We start from the raw sequence: 20421 nt of genomic DNA on the forward strand, positions 1-20421 counted from the left end.
AGGATTGATACATAAAGACCACCTTTCAATACTATTGATTATTATTTTATTTTATTTTATTATTTTATTTTTTGATATGGAGTCTCGCCCTGTTGCCCAGGCTGGAGTGCAGTAGCATGATCTTGGCTCACTGCAACCTCCGTCTCCTGGGTTCAAGCAGTTCTCTGCCTCAGCCTCCCAAGTAGCTGGGATTACAGGCTCCCGCCAACACGCCCGGCTAATTTGTTTTGTATTTTTAGTAGAGACGGGGTTTCACCATCTTGGCCAGGCTGGTCTTGAACTCCTGACCTTGTGATCCACCCGCCTTGGCCTCCCAAAGTGCTGGGATTACAGGCATGAGGCACTGCTCCCGGCCCCATTATTTTCTTCTTAAGGGTACTAAAAAAGCCCCCATACATTATTTGCTATAAGCAGAGGGCAGAAATAACAGAAATTACATGAAATTATCTTGACAGACATCTATCCTCCGAGTGTGCTTGACAGTTTGTGCCATTTGTGTCTGTCTTGTGTGAGTATATTGTTATTAGGACATGTAAAATTCTTAAAGAGAGGCAAGCACCAGTTGGTATTAGTGAAAGATAAGGCAGCACACTGCAACGTCTGGAGTTGGGTGTATGTGTATGGAAAAAAGGAAACTTACAAAGAGGAAACAACATCCTTCCAGCAGGAAAATATGTAGCAGTCCAGGGGATACCTTAAATAGATAACAAAGGAATTGACTAATGTGTGAATATTGCTAGATTCTAAACATAGACCATGAAAGGTGCTAAACTGATTTGATGGGAAAATGAACACAAAGGAGCATATCCCTTCTTCCACCAGTTTTCGAGGCTCTTTCTAGTGCCCTCTATTGACAGAGCCAAAGGGGAGTCTGGTGTCAAAGGAGAAACAGGGTTTTTAGAGTTCCAGCCTTAGCATCACAAAGGAAAGTATAGCTGGGTGGATTGGAAACTGGCATCAAAAGCTTAGTAATTGGCACATCTACCAAATATATAACTGTCTGGTTTTTAAATAAATGACTATGAGTCTAATCATAGTGTGTGTGTGTGTGTATGTGTGCATATATATATATACACACATATATGTGCATATATATATACACATATGCATATATACACACACATATGTATGCATATATACACACACATATATACACATAGCATGTGTGTATATATACACACACACAGTATATATATGTATATGTGTATATATATGTGTATATATATGTGTGCGTGTGTGTATGTATCTATATATACACACTCACATACATAGTGTGTGTGTGTAATCTCAACACTTTAGGAGGCCGAGGAGGGTGGATTGCTTGAGCTCAGTTCAAGACCAGTTCGGGAAACATAATGAAATCCCATCTCTACCAAAAATACAAAATTTAGCTGGGCATAGTGGTGTGTGCCTGTGGTCGCAGCTACTAGGGAGGCTGATGTGGGAGGATTGCTGGAGCCTGAGCAGTAGAGGTTGTAGTAAGTGAGCCCAGGTTGTGCCACTGTACTCCAGCCTGGTGAAAAAGTGAAACCCTGTCTCAAAAAAAAAATGCAGCATGAATTAGAAGGCTCAGTATTATAAAGCTATCAATTTTCTGTAAATTGATCTAAAAATTTACTGTTGTTGCAACCAAATAATTTCAAAATGGTTTACAAAAACGTTTTTTTAAAGTTCAAAAAATTTGTAGGATAAAGAAAAACTTTGATAATTTTTTGAGGAAGAAAACAAGATGGGAAAACTTGCTTTATCAAATATCAAGATATATTTTAAGACAGTTATTAAGATATTATAACATATAAGTAGACAAATAGAACGTAAATTTCAAAATCAGATCCATGCATATTTGAAAAATTGATATATGCCAGAGGGATGATTAAAAATGAGAAGGGAATGGATTTTTTATGAAATAAATGCTATTAGGGCAACTGATTGTTCACATGAGGAAAAACTGAACTTGAATTACTATTTCAGCATATATATAATGACTAGTTTTAGATGGATTAAGGACTAAGTTTGAAATGTACAGTTTTAACACCTTCAATAAAATATTGAATAATATTTTCATGATATCAAATCAAGGGAAAACAAAATTATGTAAAATATTGATGTATTTGATTATATTAGGAGAGAAATTTATTAACACAAATTAACATTAAAGGTTAAAGGTCAAATAATTTTATATTTGAAAAAATGTAATGATATTAATTAAAGAAATACCTTGAATATCAAATAATGACAAAAAAGAATAATCCTATAGATATATAGGCAAAATATATCAACCATAAATACACAGAGGATATAACACATATAGCCACTGTATACATGGAAAGATATTCAATAATTCCATGTCCATGAAACACAGTTTTTAAGAAATAAAGTATTATATATTGCTGACCACGTGCAGTAGTGAAAACTCACATAGCCTCATGGTGAAATGGTAAATTATTACATCCATCTTTGAAAATAATATTCCAATATCAAATACTATTCAGCATATTTATTTATACACTGAAATCCAGACTTTCCATTTTTATGCACATACCATAGACAGACATTGCACATGTGCACAAGAAAACATGCACAGAAACACTGCTTACCACATTTGTATTTACTGAAAAAATTGTAAACAACCTAAATAAGTATTTGTCAATAGGAGGATGAATAAATAAATTGTGGTACAGCAGTACAAAGAAAGCAGTAGGTCTACATATATAAGCATAATTAAATCTCGTTTGTTGACCAAAATAAATGAACATTGCAGAATAACGATGGTGTAATATGACATTGAATCTTAAAGTATGCAAAAGAGTATTTTTTATAAATATATATTTTTATAAAATATTTCTTAAACATTTATTAGAATTGATTAAAAAACAGATTCAGAAAGTAACCATTTCTCAGGGAATGGGATTCATAAGGGAAAATAGTGGTCTCATGCATAATCTGTAAAATATACATCTTTAGTAAATAAAGTCGCTGAAACAGATATTACATGTGGTTAAGAGATGCTAAACCTGGATTGTGAGAATAGGAATTCAGTTATTTGTTATACATGTTTATTCCTTTTTCTCTGTACTTTTGAAAAATTTAACTACCTACTCGATTGAATATTTGTACTGATAAAAATGCAACCCAATCCATACCTCACCCTTAATACAAAAATTAACTTAAAATGTAAATTTTACAATGTAAAACCTAAAAGTATGAAACTTATAGAAAAAGATAGAAGAAAATTATGACTTTAGGTCAAATGTTTCTTACATATGAGACAAAAAAATACATTTTATTAAAGAAAAATGATAAATCAAACTACATAAAATTTATTAATGACAAGTGATTATTAACAGAATACAGATGAGCCACAGGTTAGGAAAGAAGATGTGCAAATCACATATCACGAAAAATCTTATATCCAGAATATAGAAAGAATTCTCAAAACTCAACAGCTAAGAAACAACCCAATAAAATATAGGCAATATTTTAGACAATAGGCATGAATAGACTCTTTACCAAGCAAGAGTTACAGATGATCAATAAATACGTGAAAAGATAGTCAATATCATTAGTCATTAGGTACATGGAAGTACAACTGCAATGAGATACCACTTTGCAACTATTATAACGAAAAAGAAGAAAACTGACAATGCCAAGTGTTGACATGGATGGGGAACAACTGGAGCTTTCATACATTGCTGGTTGGAATGTAAAATGGCACAGCAAAACTTTCACTTTTTATAAAGTTAGGCACATGATTATGATATAATACAATATTCCCTCTCCTAGGTATTTACCTAGGAGACTAGGAGATATGAAAATATTTGTTCACACAAAAACTAGTACAAGTATATTTATAGCAGCTCTATTTTAATCATCAAAAACTAGAAAAAACTTAGATGTCCCTCAATAAATAAAATGATAAATAGTGGAACATACATACGATGGAATATTACTCAGTGATTTAAAAAAAAGCAATTAACTAGGCTTCATCTACATAATATGAACCTTGGTCTCCACAACCCCTTATCTTAACCCAGACACTCCCTTCTATTGATTTCAGGTCTTCAGCTACCTATCCCCTGGAAGCCCCGGCTTCAAGCTGTCCTTCCTTTCCAGATCAAATCAATGTACATCTTACATGTATTGATTGATGTCTTATGTCTTCCTAAAATGTAAGCTGTAGTCTGACCACCTTGGGCACATGTTCTCAGGATCTCCTGGGGCTGTTTCATGAGCCATGGTCACTCATATTTGGCTTAATAAATTTCTTCAAATACTAAAAAACATAATTAACTGTTGATATGTGCAATAACATAAATGAATATCAAGTATACTGTGCTAGGTAAAAGAAGGCTGACTCAAAGGCTACACACTTTACTATTCCCTTTACATGACACTGTGGGAAAGGCAAAATTATGGAAACAGAAAACAGATTAGTGGTGGCCAGGAGCTGAGCAAGAAAGGGGCTTATTTAAAACGAGCAGCAACACAACAGTTTTTTAAGTGGTGATAGACCTCTTTGGAATTGTAATGTTTGTCATGTGTGCCTTTGTCTATACTCAGAACTGAACACCAAAGAGGTAAATGTTATTATTGTGTGTAAAATAAAAATTGACTAAGCAATAATATAAATATATAGGTATATATGCACATATATGTACAAATATATTTTACAAATAATGTAAAACTTCATTTAATAATTTTCAGTACCTGTATTCTGAGTTTCCCTATTACAAAGACTACTTGTCTGCCAATTCAGGGAGAAAAATTATGTTGTGAATAATTGAAATCTGTTAAAATTATTGAGATTTTCAGACAATTTTCAGAATAGAAAAGAAAGAAAATTTGTAAAATTTTCCATATGATTCTCTTGTCTTTATTCTATACTATTTCTAAAATACAGGTTTTTATGGGGCTTTAGGTTCAATGTTTTCAAGCAACCATCACAAAACCCTGGACAATTTTAGAGGTAGGGGTGAAAACAAAGGAAAGTGGTTGTTAACCAAATGGCAGAAGCTAAGCAAGCCATGGAATGGATGAATACTAAATGTTAATGAATAGCTGTTCTATGCCTCCAGACTCTTCTGTTTGTATTAATGAATAGAACTAATTAAAAGTAGATATAATATGATGATGAATTTTTTTAAAAAAGAATACTGCATATTTTTCTTTGTAACATTCCCCATAGTCTACTTTCTTGGAAATGTTACTTTTTATTTGTTCTTTTTTAAAAAACAAACACTGTTTTTGATAGACATTCAAACATCTTTCATAAAAGACAGAGACTACTTCTTCAAATGCAAACCAAAAGGGAATTTGGAATAATTTTCTTGCCCTGTAGGAAGATTTTCCTTAGGGAAAGCTTATTTAATAGAGAAAATGTGTTGATTTCAGTAATCACAGATGTTTATTCCAGTCTATTTATATTTGGCTCTATATTTTTTATGACATAAATAAATTTCTTAAGTTTGGTGCTAATAAGAGTTTGTGATGCTGATAATCCTGACTACAGTTAGGAAAAATGCATATGGCTATTCTCCAGGCTTGTTCACACAGATCTACCCACACACATCTTCATAGCAAATCTGTAATGCCACTGCTACTTAATTACTTGGCATCTATTGTGCAAAGACTGACAACCTTACTACATAGTTGGGAAGAAAGACAAATTTCTATTAAGGAATAGACTGAGGTCACTGTGTTTATAACCTGTTACAGATTTGTTTACTTTCTTTACAAAGGTAAAATGTATCAGTGGCAAGTCATGATTATATTTCTAATGTTGATTTACATCAGATTCCATTATGTGGAATCTGAAAAATTTTAGCTAGAATTGCATAAATCCATTTTAAACCTTGAAATTTCTTAAGCAGCTAAGGCATACATTTTGTAGAAATTTTGAAATGGGAACTCTGATGTGTATGAGTGTGTGTGTGTGTGTATAGTCGTATATAATCATATACATTATAAACCCCTCCCATCACACACACAAACATTCCCTTAAAGGAGTACTAGCATGGAAGACAGAGGAAAGCTAGTATTTATTAAGCATCCATTTAGTAAGACTCTTAGCTGTTATTAATTACTATTATTTTTTATTTCTTTCTTTCTTCCCTTTTTTTTTTTTTCTTTTTGAGACTGGGACTTACTTCTGTGGCCTGGGCTGGAGTGTAGTGACCTGATCTTGGCTCACTGCAACCTCGCCCTCCCAGGTTCAAGTGATTCTCCTGGCTCAGCCTCCCGGGTAGCTGGGACTACAAGCACGCAGCACCATGCCTGACTAATTTTTGTATTTTTAGTAGAGACGAGGTTTCACCATGTTGGTCAGACTGGCCTCCAACTCCTGACCTCGTGATCCACCTGCCTCAGCCTCCCAAAGTGCTGGGATTACAGGCGTGAGCCACTGCATCCAGCCGGCTATGATTATTTTTCTAAGCTTTGATCATAAGAAATCTCTAAGATACATGTTTAAACAGAAAATTGTGTCTTCCTCAAGGCCTACCAAATCAGACCCTAGGAGTAGAGGTCTAGGAATGTGTAATTTAGCAATTGCCAGAGGCGAGTCTTTTGACCAACAGAGTTTGAGAAAAACTGAGAAGAGTTCATTTAAACTTCAAGTTATGCTGTAGACATTGTATCATTTTATAAAGAAACTAAAACAAATATTTATCAATAAACTTGGGCAATGTTGATTTATGATAAATGAGATCTAGAATGTGAAATAAATCTTTGAATTCAAAAGTCTACATTTTCCTACCCTTGCGGTACTTGCTTTTTTCTTTTAACAGCTTTACTGATATGTAACTTACATATCATAAAATTTACCCAGGAATTCGAGGCTGCAGTGAGCTATGATTACACCACTACATTCCAGCCTGGGCAACAAAGTGAGACCATATCTATCTAACTATCAATCAATCAATAAAGCCATCGATTTTTACTATATTCACAAAGCTGTGCAACCATCACTATTAGCACATTGTAGAACACTTTCATTACCCCTAAAATAAACCCAGACACATTAGCAGTTATTCCCCATTTCTTCCTTTCCTCACACCTGGCAATTACTAATTTACTTTTATTTTCTCTGTGGATTTGCCTATTATGAATATTTCTTTTAAATGAAATCACACAGCATGTTGCCTTTTGTGTTTGGCTTCTTAATGTTATAATATTTTCAAGGCTCGTCCACATTGTAGCTTGTATCAGTTCTTCTATACTTTGTGTGAAAGTTTTTCTATGAATATATATTTTCAATTATGTTGAATATGAGTAGAATTGTCAAATGATAAGGTAGCTCTATGTTTAACATTTTGTGGAATTCCCAAATGTTTTTGAAAGTTTTTGTACAATGTTACAATTCCACCACCAACTTTCCTCTATATCTATCAACACTTTTTATTTTTGATCTTGTCATTTTGCCATCTTAATGAGTGCAAAATGCTATCTCATTGTAGGTTTTTTTATTTTATTTTATTTTATTTTTTGAGATGGAATCTTGCACTGTCGCCCAGGCTGGAGTGCAGTGGCGCAATCTCCACTCACTGCAAGCTCCACCTCACCAGTTCACGTCATTCTCCTGCCTTAGCCTCCTGAGTAGCTGGGCTACAGGCGCCAGCCACCAAGCCCGGCTAATTTTTGTGTGTGTGTATTTTTAATAGAGACGGGGTTTCATCGTGTTAGCTGGGATGGTCTCAATCTCCTGACCTCGTGATCTGCCCGCCTCGGCCTGGCAAAGTGCTGGGATTACAGGCTGGGATTATGGCCACGGCACCTGGCCTAGGTTTTTTTTTTTTTTTCTTTTGAGACAGCCTTGCTCTGTCGCCCAGGCTGGAGTGCAATGGTGCCATCTCCTGGGCTCAAGTGATCCTCTTGGCTCAGCCTCCTGAGTAGCTGGGACTCCAGGCACGCACCACCACACTTAGCCAATTGTGTGTTTGAGTGTGCACGCACGCATGTGTTTTGTAGATATGGGTTTTGCCATGTTGCTCAGGCTGGTCTCAAACTCCTGAGGTCAAGCAATCTGCCCACCTCAGCCTCCCAAAGTGCTGGGATTACAGGTATGAGCCAGTGCGCCCGGCCTCATTGTAGTTTTGACCTGCAATTTCTTAATGACTTACGATGATTCCTATCATTTCTTATGCTTACTGGGTATTTATAGATCTGATCTGGAGTTATGTCTGTTTAAATTCTCTGACCATTTTAAAAATCAGTTCGTATTTTTATTAAGTTATAAATATTATTTATTTATTTATTTATTTATTTATTTATTTATTTATTTTTGAGACGGAGTCTTGCTCTGTTGCCAGGCTGGAGTGCGGTGGCGCGATCTCGGCTCACTGCAACCTCCGCCTCCAGGGTTCAAGCAGTTCTCCTGCCTCACACTCCCAAGTAGCTGGGACTACAAGCACACACCACCATGCCCAGCTAATTTTTTGTATTTTTAGTAGAGACGGGGTTTCACCATGTTGGCTAGGATGGTCTCGATCTCTTGACCTCATGATCTGCCCGCCTTGGCCTCCCAAAGTGCTGGGATTACAGGCGTGAGCCACTGCCCCTGGCCTATGTCCTTTATAAATTCTGGCCATAATGCCCTATCAGATATATAATTTGCAAATATTTTCTCTCAATGGATTGCTTTTTCACTTTCTCAGTCATATGCTTTGAAGCATAAAAGTTTTTAATTTTGATAAAGGTCAATTATTTTCTTAGTCACTGTGCTTTTATTGTCATATCTAAGAAACCATTCCCTAATCTAAAGTCTTGATGATTTACTCTTATATTTTCTTCTTAGAGTATTACAGTTTAAATTCTTATTTAAATTAAATCCCCCTGATTCATTTTGAGTTAATTTGTATAAATGGTGTGAGGTAGGGTCCAACTTCATAACTGTGTATGTGTATATCCAGTTGTTCAAATACCATTTGTTCAAAAGACTATTTTACCCCATCAAATTATTTTAACAATTTTATTAAAAATCATTAGAGCATAAATTTATATGTTTATTTCTGGAGTTTCAGTTGTATTCCATTGATCTACATGTCTATCCTATGCCAGTACCACTCTGTCTAATCAATTCTGTGCTGATCACTATAGCTGTGTACAGTACTTACAGAAAATGTGAGTCCTCCAAGTTTGTTTTTCATATTTAATATTGTTTTGACTATTTCAGATCCCTTGCATTTCTATATAAATGTCATAATCAGTTTGTTAAGTTCTACAAAATAGGCATTGTGAAAGGAAAATATCTTGGGCACCCAAAATCACCCAGCTAAAAGGAAAATTCAAACTGGGAATTGCTGAGGGCAAACGTGCCTCCAGTTCTATTCAAAATCATCCATCTGCTCACTGAAATAAATACATATCTGATTGCCCCCTATGGAAAGGCTAATCAGAAACTCAAAAGAATGCAAACATTTGTCTCTCACCTGTGACCTGGAAGCCTCCTCTTGCTTCAAGTTGTCTCCCTTTTGCTTTGAGTTGTCCCACTTTTCCAGACCAAACCAATGTTCATTTTGCATATGTTGATTGAATGTCTCATGTCTTCCTAAAATGTATAAAACCAAACTGCTCTGACCACTTTGAGCACATATCGTCAGGACCTCCTGAGGCTGTGTCACAGGTGCACATCCTCAACCTTGGAAAAATAAACTTTCTAAATTAACTGAGACCTGTCTCAAATTTTGGGGGTCCACCGCATCTAAAATTTTCATGGGGATCTCATTGAATCTATAGATCACCTTGGGAAGTGTTGACACCCTAACATTATTAAGTGGCCAATCAATGAACCTGACTAGTCCTTGCACCCCCTTCATCTTGTTTTACCTTTCTGGGCTGTTACATAGGATTTCTGTCTTTTCATTTTATCCAAAAATACTTGGTTTTAAATTGTCTAATATTCAGTTTATAACACAAGTAGTACAGGCTCACTGTAAAAGATATAAAACAGTTTTAGACATATAAGATATTATAACTTTATAATGAAGAACAGGAATATGCAGTAAAAATCTGGGCGTAAGTCAGGAGTAAAAGCATTATATAATTTAAAATTCATGGTAAGAGCGTTAACATTTATAAAAAATATATTTTGTTGTCTAAAATTCCTAGGTTATTAAAAATCAAAAAATCTACATTTAAAATGAAAATCACTATAACTTATAATAAAAAAGACATTTTTAAAAGATCTTCCATTCTTATGTACTGCATTTGTCCTTTTTAAATATTTATCTTTAAAACTAATCACAAGCCCCAATTTAAAGGGAAAATTAGTCTGGGAAAGATTAAATAATATATACGAGGTTCTATGATTATGAAATGTAGATCTGAAATTTCAATGTAATTCTGATTCAAAGATCACACTCATTTTACTATAACAAGCAATAGTAAAATGAGCATAAAATTAAGAAACGGATGTATGTTTTTGTACTCTCTCTCAAACACTAACTGGTAAATCATTTCATATCCTTGATCTCAATTTTTACTTTTGTGAAATGAGATAAATAATACTTCACAACTGAATATATATTTAAGAAATGTAATGTTGGTTAAACTTTCAAAATTAATAAAAACAGTTATTCACATTAACCAAATAAAGGAGAAAGTCATATACAACATCTTAAGAGATGTAGAAAAAAAATTTCATAAAGCCAATATCTTTCATGCAAAGCCTCTTACTAAACTAGGAATAGAAGGGAACTATAGATAAAAAGGATTTTTAGAGGCCATGTCATCAACATAAATAATTCCAAATTATTGAAATCTTTCCTTTGAGATTAAGCAAAGGGCAACAATATCTGCTATTATCACTTCCATGTAACATTGTATTGGACATGCTACCCAATGTAATATGGCAAGAATAAAGAAAAATAATAATAAAATGGAAAAGGAATAAGCAGGATTGATATCATTTGAATAAAATGCTGTCATTCACATAAAATGCTAAAAGTATCAACAGAGAAAGTACTGAAATTGAGCATATTTATCATAATTGAAGGTTACAAATTCATTATAAAAATATCAATTGAATTTGTATCTACTTGTAACAGAAAATTGCATTAAAAAAATGCATGTTCTCACTCATAGGTGGGAATTGAACAATGAGAACACTTGGACACAGGAAGGGGAACATCACACACTGGGGCCTGTGGTGGGGTGTGGGGGGAGGGGAGGGATAGCATTAGGAGATATACCTAATGTAACTGATGAGTTAATGGGTGCAGCACACCAGCATGTCACATGTATATATATGTAACAAACCTGCATGTTGTGCACATGTACTTAAAGTATAAAAAAAACTAATACTTAAAATAGCATGCAAATATATACTATACATGAAAATTGAATAAATAATACATAAGATATATGAATAAATATATAAAATATTAAGAGTAATAAAGACCCATGTAAGTGATAGAACATGCCATGTTTGTAGATTTAAAGAAGCAATATTGTCTTCAAACATTTTTGAACTTAAGAAGTGAATTTAATATATAGATAGATAGATAGATAGATAGATAAATTAAAATCACTGAGAACACCAAGTTTTTGAACAAAACAAGGTGAGAGGTCTTGATCTATCAAATAACAAAACTTTTTTATTTTATTTTATTTTTTTTGAGACAGAGTCTCACTGTGTCACCAGGCTGGAGTGCAGTGGCGTGATCTCGGCTCACTTCAACCTCTGCCTCCCAGGTTCAAGCAATTCTCCTGCCTCAGCCTCCCAAGTAGCTGGGACTACAGGCATGCACCACCACGGCCCAGCTAATTTTTGTATTTTTAGTAGAGACGGGCTTTCACCATGCTGGCCAGGATGGTCTCCATCTCTTGATTTCGTGATCTGCCCACCTTAGCCTCCCAAAGTGCTGGGATTACAGGCATGAGCCACCACACCCGGCCAAGACTTTTTATAATTACTGTGGTAGGAGTTTTTAAGAAATTATTTTAGGCAGATAAAGAGGAAACGTTTTGGTTTCTTTTAAAGCAGCTCCAAAAACGTTTCTTGTCTAGAAGCAAAGTCCAGGCTCTTAAAGCCATGGAGGCAACCTTTAATAGGCGAATGTCGGCCATTAGAGACTGGGTCCACCCAAAAATGGCAATTCCCATGGCCTTCTTGCCCTTGCCCCACATGTGCCTGGCAACATGGCTGTCCCCACATATCCCCACATATGTAAAACATCATGGTGCCTTGTGTTTGTATATTAAAAGGCTAGGGTGGGAGGGCTAGTTTTTTAGAAGCTATGTGAAAAACAGGCCTGGTCAAAGCAATCCCCTGAGTCCTATGCAAATCCAACACCGCCTCCTCCAGCCTCTTCTTATACCTGGCTGGTATCTGTGGGACGTGGAGTCTCCTCTTTTAGCTTTGGAGCCCCCCTCCCTCTGTGTCTTTATTGGGGAGCCTCTTCCTTTTGCCTTCTCTTTTCTTTCTTGCTTATTAAACTCTGCTCCACTCCACATGTGTCCATGTTGTTTTATCTAAATCGTGCGAGACAAGAACCTGGTGTTCCTCCATTCATTAGAGCTGTATCACTACAACAATAAGGATAATAAAAGATTAGAAAGATAGGTCATGGAAATAGAAGAAAGAGTTTGAAAACAGACCCCAGATATAATCACTTTTGACTTATGACAAAGGTAGTATTGCAGATTAGTGGGGAATTATGGTATTTTCAATATATGCTACTGAAGAATTTGGATATTCATATGAAAAATGTGAAGCATAATCTCTTCTATATATCAGAGAAAATTTAATTATAGTGAGATTGTTAATTACAGTGTGAAAGAAAAAACTAGGTGTCTGGAAGAAAATATAAAATAAAAATTTTTACAAGCTTAATATAGAGAAAGACTTCCAAAATGTAACATAAAAACATTTATCTAAAGGAAAAGACTGATTAATTACATTTCAATAAAGCCAAGAATTTCTGTTCACAATATATACCATTAAAATAATCAAAAGACATACAGCTGACATGCTTAAGATATTGCCAAAATGTATACCTAGCAGAGTATTTTTGTTGAGAATACATGGAAATCACCTACAAATTAATAAGAAAAAGAGGTTAGTCAATGGAAAAATGGCAAAGGTCTTGATCAGACACTTCACAAAAGATGATATCAATATGGACAATAAACATGAGAAGGTTTAACAGCATTAGTTATTAGGAAAATAATAAATAAACTACAATGAAATACTGCAACAGAGTTATTTGAGTGGCTAAATTAATATGCCACAGCATCAGATATTAGAAAACATCTGGCACAAACATAACTGCTCTATCTTTTGGTGGAAGTACAAATAGGCACAGTCACTCTTTAAAATTCTTTTGGTCTCATATATTGAGTATAACATATGCATTCCTTATGCCTAGCAATTCATTTTTATAAACAACAGAAATGTTGTTTATTTGTACCCAAAGACAAGGAGTTTCAAAACTTTATCATTCATAATAATCAAATATTAGAAACAATTTTAAAGTCTGCAAATGGTATAATGGATACTTTATTATATAATATATTCATATAAGAAATTCAGTGAAGCAATTTAAAAAAACAAATTACATCTCCATTAAGTAACATAGCTGTTCTTAAAATATTGGATGAATAAAACCTATACAAAATAATACATATAGTGAGGTGTCAGGTATATAAAATGTGAACAGTGGCAAAATTGAACAGGAGAATACTGTTTAATTTCCATGTGTTTGTATAGTTTCCATAGTGTTTAGAAATGTATATTTTCCTGTAAACCTATAATCTATAGAAAGTTACACAGTATATGATTTATTGGTCTTGGTGGTGGTTCAAAGGTATTCTCCTTGTGAAAATTTATTGAACCATACATTTTATTTTGTTTCCTTTCATTTATGAGTGAAATATTTCATAATAAAAATGTTTTATGAGAAGAAAATTACAGAGTACTAAAATCTTCTTTTTTTCCTGTCTATTTTTATTTTAGGTTCAGAGGGTACATGTGCAGGTTTGTTACATGGGTAAATTGCATGTTGCTGAAGTTTGGTGTACGAATGATCCCTTCACCTAGGTAGTGAGTGAAGTATCCTATAGGCAGTTTCTCAACCTACATTCCTCTCCTACCCTCCCCCATCAAGTAGTCCCCAGTGTCTATGTTCCCATCTTTGTGTCCCTATGTATTCAGTGTTTACTTCCTACTTATAAGTAAGAATTTGCAGTATTCGGTTTTCTGTTTCTGCCTTAGTTCACTTAGGATAACAGCCTCCAGCTGCATCCATGTTGCTGCAAAAGACAAGATTTTGTTCCCTTTTATGGTTGCATCGTATTCCGTGCTGTATATGTGAAATATTAATTTCTAAAATAATAAAATTCAGATATTAAGACAAAAATTATTTTAATTTTATATAGTTTGTATTGCATCTTCATTAATACAATATAAAGTATTTACTTTTTACTTTAGTTTTTCAATTTTTAATTTTTGTGAGTACAGATTTGGAGTTTGGTTTGTTCTTATCTTTCTAATTTTTCAAGATGCATTATTAGCTTATTTGAAGATATTCTACTTTTTTCATGGAGACAGTGCTATAAAATTTCATCTTAGTACTGCTTTTTCTATATCTCCTAGGTTTTGGTATGTTATGTTTCCATTTTCTTTGTTTTAAAAATAATTTTATTTTATTTTTAATTGCTTATTTGACCTGCTGGTCATTCAGGAGCGTATTGTTTAATTTTCCTGTGTTTGTATGGTTTCCAAAGTTCCTCTTGTTATTGATTTCTAGTTTTATTCCATGTGATCAGAGATGATACTTGATATAATTTCATCTTTTAAAATTTTTAAGACTTGTGGCCTAATGTATGGGCTATCTCTGAGAATAATCTATGGGCTGAGGAAAAGAATATGTATACTGTAGACATTGGATGAAATGTTCTGTAAACATCTACTAGGTTCATCTGGTCTGTGCCACAGATTAAGTCTCATGTTTCTTTGTGGATTTTCTGAATGGATGATCTGTCCAGTGCTAAAAGTGGAGTGTTGAAGTCTCCAGCCCTTATTGTATTGAGATCTATTTCTCTTTTTAGCTCTAATAATATTTGCTTTGTATATCTGGGTGCTCCACTGTTGGGTGCATATATATTTACAATTGTAATATCCTCTTGCTTAATTGACCCCTTTATCATTATATAATGCCATTTTTGTCTCTTTTTACACTTTTTGCCTTGAAATCTATTTTGTCTGATATAAGTATAGCTCCTTCTATTCTTTTTTGGCTTACATTTGCATGGAATATCTTTTCCATTCCTTTATTTTCAGTATTTGTGTCTTTATATGTGAAGCATGTTTCTTGTAGACAACAGATCATTGGCCTTGTTTTTAAAAACCCATTCAGCCACTCTGTGTTTTGATTGGAGAGGTTAGTGCGTTTACTTTCAATGTTATTGTTGATAAAGGCTTACTACTGCCATTTTGTTATTTGTTTTCTGGTTGTTTCGCCTTCCTTCCTCTCTCCCTTCCTCCCTCCCACCTTCTCCCCTCCCTCCTTCTCCCCTTCCCCTTCCCTTCCTTCCTTCCTTCCTTCCTTCCTTTCCTTGTCATCCTTCCTTCCTTGTCATCCTTTTTGTGAAGTTTATTTTTTTATGGTGGTATGTTTTAATTTCTTGCTTTTTATTTTTTTGGATATCTGTTGTAGATTTCTTGATTTGAGGTTACCATGAGGCCTGCAAATCACATCTTATAAGCCATTATTTTAAACTGATGTCGACTTAACACTGATTGCAAAAACAAGCAAAGAGAAAACTAATAAAAATGCTACACTTTAACTTCATTTCCCCTTTTTGACTTTTTATTGTTCATATTGATATATTATTGTCTATGCATCGAAATGTTGCTGTAGTTATTCTTTTTGATAGATTCATCTTTTAGTCATTCTACTCAAGATTATGAGTAGTTTACACAGCACAATTACGGTGTTGCAATACTCTGTTTGTACGTATACTTACTATTACCAATGACTTTTGTACCTTCAGATAATTTCTTATTGCTTGTTAACATCCTTTTCTTTCAGACTGAAGAACTCCATTTAGCATTTCTTGCAGGATAGGTCTGGTATTGATGAAATCCCTCAGCTTTTGCTTTTGTTTGTCTGAAAAAGTCATTATTTCTTCTTCATGTTTGAATGACGTTTTCATTGGATATGCTATTCTAGGATAAAACTTTTTTTTCCTTCAACACTTTAAATATGTCATGCCACTCCCTCCTGGCCTGTAAAGTTTCCACTGAGAAGTCTGCTACCACATGTACTGGATCTCTTTGGATGTTATTTGTTTCTTTTTTCTTGCTGCTTTTAGACTCCTTTCTTTATTCTCTTCTTTTGGGAGCTCGTTTATTAAATGTCTTGAAGTTGTCTTACATGGTTTAAATCCTCTGGGTGTTGTATAATCTTCTTGTACTTGAATATTGACATCTTTCTCTAGGTACAGAGAGTTCTCTGTTATCCCTTTGAATAAACTTTCTACCCTGAACTCTCACTCTACCTCCTCTTTAAGGGAGATAACTTAAATTTTCTTGATCTTGTAGGCTTGCTTTATTCTTTTTCTTTTGTCTCCTTCAATTGTATATTTTCAAATAGCCTGTCTTTAAGCTCACTAATTCTTTTTTCTTCTTGATCAATCCTGCTGTTTACTCTGTTGCATTCTTCTATATGTCAATTGTTATGTTTCAGCTCCAGAATTTCGGTTCATTTTTTAAAAAATCATTCATATCTTTATGTTAAATTTATCTGATGGAATTCTGAATTCTTTCTCTATATTGTTTTAAATTTTAAATTTTAATCTATAAAATTAAGAAATTTATAGCTTTCTTAAACCAGCTATTTTGAATTTTCTATCTGAAAAGTCACATATCTCCATCACTCTGGGATTGGCCACTGGTGCCTTATTTAGTTTGTTTAGTGAAGTCATGTTCCTAGATAGTCTTGATACTTGTGGATGTTTTTCAATGCCTGGACATTGAAGAGTTAGGTATTTATTGTAGTCTTTGCAGTCTAGGCTTGTTTGTGCCCATCCTTTTTTAAGAAGGCTTTCCAGGTATTCCAAAGGAATTAAGTGTTGTAATCTAAGTCTTTGATCACTGCAGCTGTATCTGCATCAGGGGGCCCTTCAAACCCAGTAACATTGTTTCTCTTACCCACTCATAGAGATACCACCATGGTGGTCTTTGGTAAGATCTGGAAGAATTCACTGGATTATTACCAAGCAGAATGTCTGGTCTTTTCCCTTACTTTTCGCAGAATAAATGGAGTCTCTCTTTCTGTGCTCAGATGCGTGGAGCTTGGGGAAGGGTGACACAAGCACCCTGTAGCCACCACACTGAGACTTAGCTGGGTCAGGCCTTCCTATCCATATTTTAAAAAGATACTCTTTTCCGATTTTTTTCTGAATATTTTTCCCGGCTGACACTGTGTGTTCTCTATTTACTTATATAAATGTAATTTGATGAGCCCCAAAGAGAAAGATAGATGAAAATTATTTTAGAAAGAATAGAAAAAAGAAAATATGCCTTAAAAGGCCATACTTAAAGATTCATCTTCAATTTATTTGTCATCATATGCAATAGCAGAAAATGTTTACAACATAAACTATGTATTCTAAAAAATTTTACTTTATCATGTGTTGTCAGTAAGACAGTAGGTCAACAGTGGGTGTATTTTTTTCTGCTTTGATTGTATTTTATTTAATTATTAATTTTGGCTTAATAGAGTCTTCCTTTGGCAGGCTGGACAAATGTCATGGCCCCTAGCCCTTTCCAACTCATAATGAAAATAGACCTATTTCCAGCTTCACCTTGCTGATTGCTTCTACCTGCTGCTCAGGATAATTTGTTCAGTGTAAATGAAGACTTCAGTAGTTATTGAAGGAAAAAGGTACAAAAAGAGACTGTTGTGCAGCATCTACATAAAGCGGCTTGTGCAAAACAGTCCTGATTAAATGAAAGTGTCTTAAGATTATGAGATCTTCAGTGTTTCACAATTACAATTAAAGCAGTCATAAATAATTACTGTAAACTAGAAAATCAACCATATCTGGCAAATTAGAATTCATTTAATTTGCCTTACTTAATGTGGTTTTCACTTTCTTCTCTAACTTTATTTATGAAGAAACTATAATGCTATTCATTTTTATGACAACACTGATGATTTTAATGTACTTTTATTTAAAAAAATTCTAAAACTGACCTAAAACTTAAATCAGACGGTTTTTCATTAAGTTAATAAATTCTTGACAGTATCAGAAAAATAATATCAGAATCAGAAAAAGTTGTTAAAGCAGTAAACAGCATATTATTTAGGCAAATTCCATTAAATGTACATCATATGAGCATCATTAAATGTTCATAAATTCATTAAATGTATCATCAGTATCTCAATATGGAAAAGATATTCTCATTCCTTTTTAAAATTTTATATATAATGTATATTATATAATATTTATATTTATATATAATATATATTATATAATATTTATATTTATATGTATTATATATAATATTTATATTTATATTTATATATATTATATATAATATTTATATTTATATATATTATATATAATATTTATATTTATATATATTATATATAATATTTATATTTATATATGTTATATATAATATTTATATTTATATATATTATATATAATATTTATATCTATATATCTTATACATAATATTTATTATTATATGTGATATTTTATATTTATCTATTATATATTGTATTTATATTATATCAATATATTATATAATATCATATATGTGTACATTATATATATATGTATATATAATATATGTATATATATATTATGTATATTAATTTTATGTATATATAGTTATGTGTGTATATAATATATAATTACATATAATATATAATATATGTAATATATGATATATCATATATATAATATTATGTATATATGTATATCATATACATATATATAATATATATGTATATATAATGTATATATAATATATTTATGTATATATAGTTATGTATATATAATATATATTGTATATTATATATAGTATATTCTATATTATATATGATTTTATATATAATATATAATATATAATATGTAATATATAATTTAAAATATATATTATATCATATAATATATAAATATATAATTATATACTATAATCATTATATATAAATATATAATTATATACTATAATCATTTTATAATTATATACTATAATCATTTTACAATTATATACTATATTTTATAATTATATACTATAATCATTTTATAATTATATACTATATTTTATAATTATATACTATAATCATTTTGTAATTATATACTATATTTTATAATTATATACTATAATCATTTTATAATTATATACTATATTTTATAATTATATACTATAATCATTTTATAATTATATACTATAATCATTTTATAATTATATACTATAATCATTTTATAATTATATACTATAATCATTTTATAATTATAAGTATAATATATAATTTTTTCTTCCTTCAACTTTTATTTTAAGTTCTGGGGTACATGTGCCAGATGTGAAGGGTTGTTACATGTGTAAACATGTGCCATGGTCATTTGCTGCACAGATCATCCCATTATCTAGGTATTAAGCCCAGCATCCGTTAGCTATTCTTCCTGATGCTTCTCCTTCCCCATCCCCAACAGGGCCCATTCTGTCTGTCTCTCTTCTCTCTGTGTTTTCCCTCTATTCTCTCTATCTCTATCCTCAGGAAGTAAATAACTGATGATGTGATGAAAACATACATAAAGACATGATTCCAGCATAGAAAATGTTTTTTCAGCCCATAAAACACTACTTAAATGATATTATTTTAAAAGGACAGTTGTGATGTCAATTTGGCTTTCATTTTAGTAATCAATAATATTTAGTATATGAAAAATTAAAAGAAATATAATTTTGAAAAATCATTTTAAATAAAATCAATGTAATCGGAAAGCCAGAAAACATATGCTATCTGGATTGAGTAAATAGTTTAAATTGAGAACTCGTAGGTCCTATATGGAGTTATGCCATCATATTTGAGACCCAATAGAAAGACTAAACTATTCTTAACCTAAATCCACTGACACTGATTGTGAACTTGAAAGTGGGAAGGGTTCTCCTTCACATATACATAATAAATTTTCTACTTAACTCTCAACATATTTGAGTTTATGTGAGAGAGAACATGTAAGTACTTCTTAATAGTGAAGCTGAGGACTATGTAGATTTTTCTTATGCTAAAGAATGTCTTTTCTGATAAAATTAAACTTTTGTCTATGCAGTGCCTCACCAAGAGCACAACTGTGTTATTTTGTCCTGGTGTTTATTTGACTATATGATGAATCAAACATTAAATAGCTAACTTCCTCCCAGTCCCCTGGTTCAGTATCTTTCCTATATTATTTAAAAGACATGAC

At 32.6% G+C, this 20421-nt stretch overlaps 1 long non-coding RNA gene across 1 annotated transcript in view; it reads left to right on the forward strand.

Moving 5' to 3' along the window:
• The window catches only part of LOC107986770 (uncharacterized), a 407223-nt gene that overhangs the window by 56783 nt on the left and 330019 nt on the right, over nt 1-20421 (forward strand). The window lies entirely within an intron of this gene.

This window comes from Homo sapiens, chromosome 7, assembly GCF_000001405.40.
Source record: "Homo sapiens chromosome 7, GRCh38.p14 Primary Assembly".
In the NCBI taxonomy this organism is placed as follows: Eukaryota; Metazoa; Chordata; class Mammalia; order Primates; family Hominidae; genus Homo; species Homo sapiens.